We start from the raw sequence: 1,649 nt of genomic DNA, 5'->3' as shown, positions 1-1,649 counted from the left end.
TAGTACTTTTGATAATTACTCCAACTATTGACTCAAAATACTTCATTCACATACAGCTCTGTAATTGGGAATTTAGTATTCCAAACTTGGAAGATTTTTAAAAATATGTTTAAATTTATTTATGTTTTCTTGTATAAGTAACTTCTATTATTTTTCCCTTAATATTTTTCTATCATTTTTCTATCCTCATTCTTATAATTTCTGGTCTGCTAATGGAAAGCTGACTTATATTGCATTCTCCAGGAGCAGACCATGAGATGACAACACATGTAAAGCGATTTATGAACAATGTGTTCCAGGAAAAGCTGGTAGGTGACAGAGGAAGCAGGATAGGAAAGGGAGACAAGTCAAGTTCAGTGGTAATTTCGTGCAGTGTCAGCCTGAGTCTGAGCCTGCAGGGTGATCTCTAGAGTGTAAGATACCTAAGAGTCAGTTCCAGGCTCTTATTATACTCCCTCATGCCTCAAGGTCACCTTTGAGGGTTAGAATTCATATCCTAACAGAAGCTACAGGATCTGTACATGTGCTGGTAAAGTAGCTCCAGTAGTCCAAGGACAGTCTTCCAAAGACAGAATTGGGCACAGGACATAAGAAACAAATGCATACATATCTGGATATGTTCCTACAGATAACAAAACATATCTGAAGGATTTGGGTGAGGTATTAACAGTATCCACTATATTAAATTGTTATGCTTTACATTAGATGTTTTTGCTGTATATTCTTATCAGGCATTCTTATATATATTTTATAAATATTCCTTATCCAAACTTCTTATAATTGTGCTGGCTTCAACTATGTTCTAGGACCAGAATGAGGTATTAACACATAGTCATAGTATTTTCATTTTAATGAAAGGTATTTTGATAACATCATCATTCAAAAAATAGAATGTATTATATTATGCATACTGGATTCCTGATGAATAACTATGATTAGATATAAACAAACAATAATGTTAGGTAGGAGATTATCCATATTGTCCCTCTCAATTCTAAAATTTCTGATTTTCTATATAATCATGAAGCATACTTGAGAATGTATTATCTGATAATTTATGTCACGTATTTGAAAGTAAGTAATAAAACATTTCATATTCTTGTCTTTCCTCCTACCATAATAAAAACATTAATATTATGCACAAATTGAAGCAAGAAGTACAGAAAAAGAGAGCTTCACAAATGAATGTAATAGATACCAGTACAGCAACACTGTAACAAGTTTATGTGTAAGTGCTTGTTCTCATTTTGGGAAAACAATTCTTATATTATTAGTTGTTAGTATTAGAGGGTTTTATATCTTGAAGATGCATTTTGTAAGAGAAGAGATATTTTTCTAAAGAGGTAATTATTTTGTCTAATTAATCACTTTCTTATAAAGAAGTCAAATGGTTGTGATTCTTTTCTTTCATATGTTGAAGTCTTTAGAATTTTTCTGTTTAGGAAATACTATTCAATCCACTTGTCAGTGTTGGACAGTTACAAATACTTATGACATGCTGAACTCTGTCATAGGCTAGGAATGACAAATTTATAAGGAAAAATGAATAATATTAAATTTCAATTCTGTCATTTTTGCAGAGCAGAAATCAGTGTTGACATTGAATAGACAATTACTACAATGTCATTCAAAATGTAAGTTTAAAAAAT

General features: G+C 31.2%; 1 annotated feature.

Annotated features, from left to right (window-relative positions):
• Positions 227-427: a silencer, noted in NCBI's record as "peak5212 fragment used in MPRA reporter construct". NCBI's record gives its function as "represses an SCP1 promoter by STARR-seq MPRAs in K562 erythroleukemia cells {active_cell/tissue: K562}" and the evidence as "EXISTENCE:reporter gene assay evidence [ECO:0000049][PMID:32103011]".

This window comes from Homo sapiens, chromosome 5, assembly GCF_000001405.40.
Source record: "Homo sapiens chromosome 5, GRCh38.p14 Primary Assembly".
In the NCBI taxonomy this organism is placed as follows: domain Eukaryota; kingdom Metazoa; phylum Chordata; class Mammalia; order Primates; family Hominidae; genus Homo; species Homo sapiens.
The sequence above is the reverse complement of the archived record's forward strand: the minus strand, read 5'-3'. Positions and strand labels throughout refer to the sequence as shown.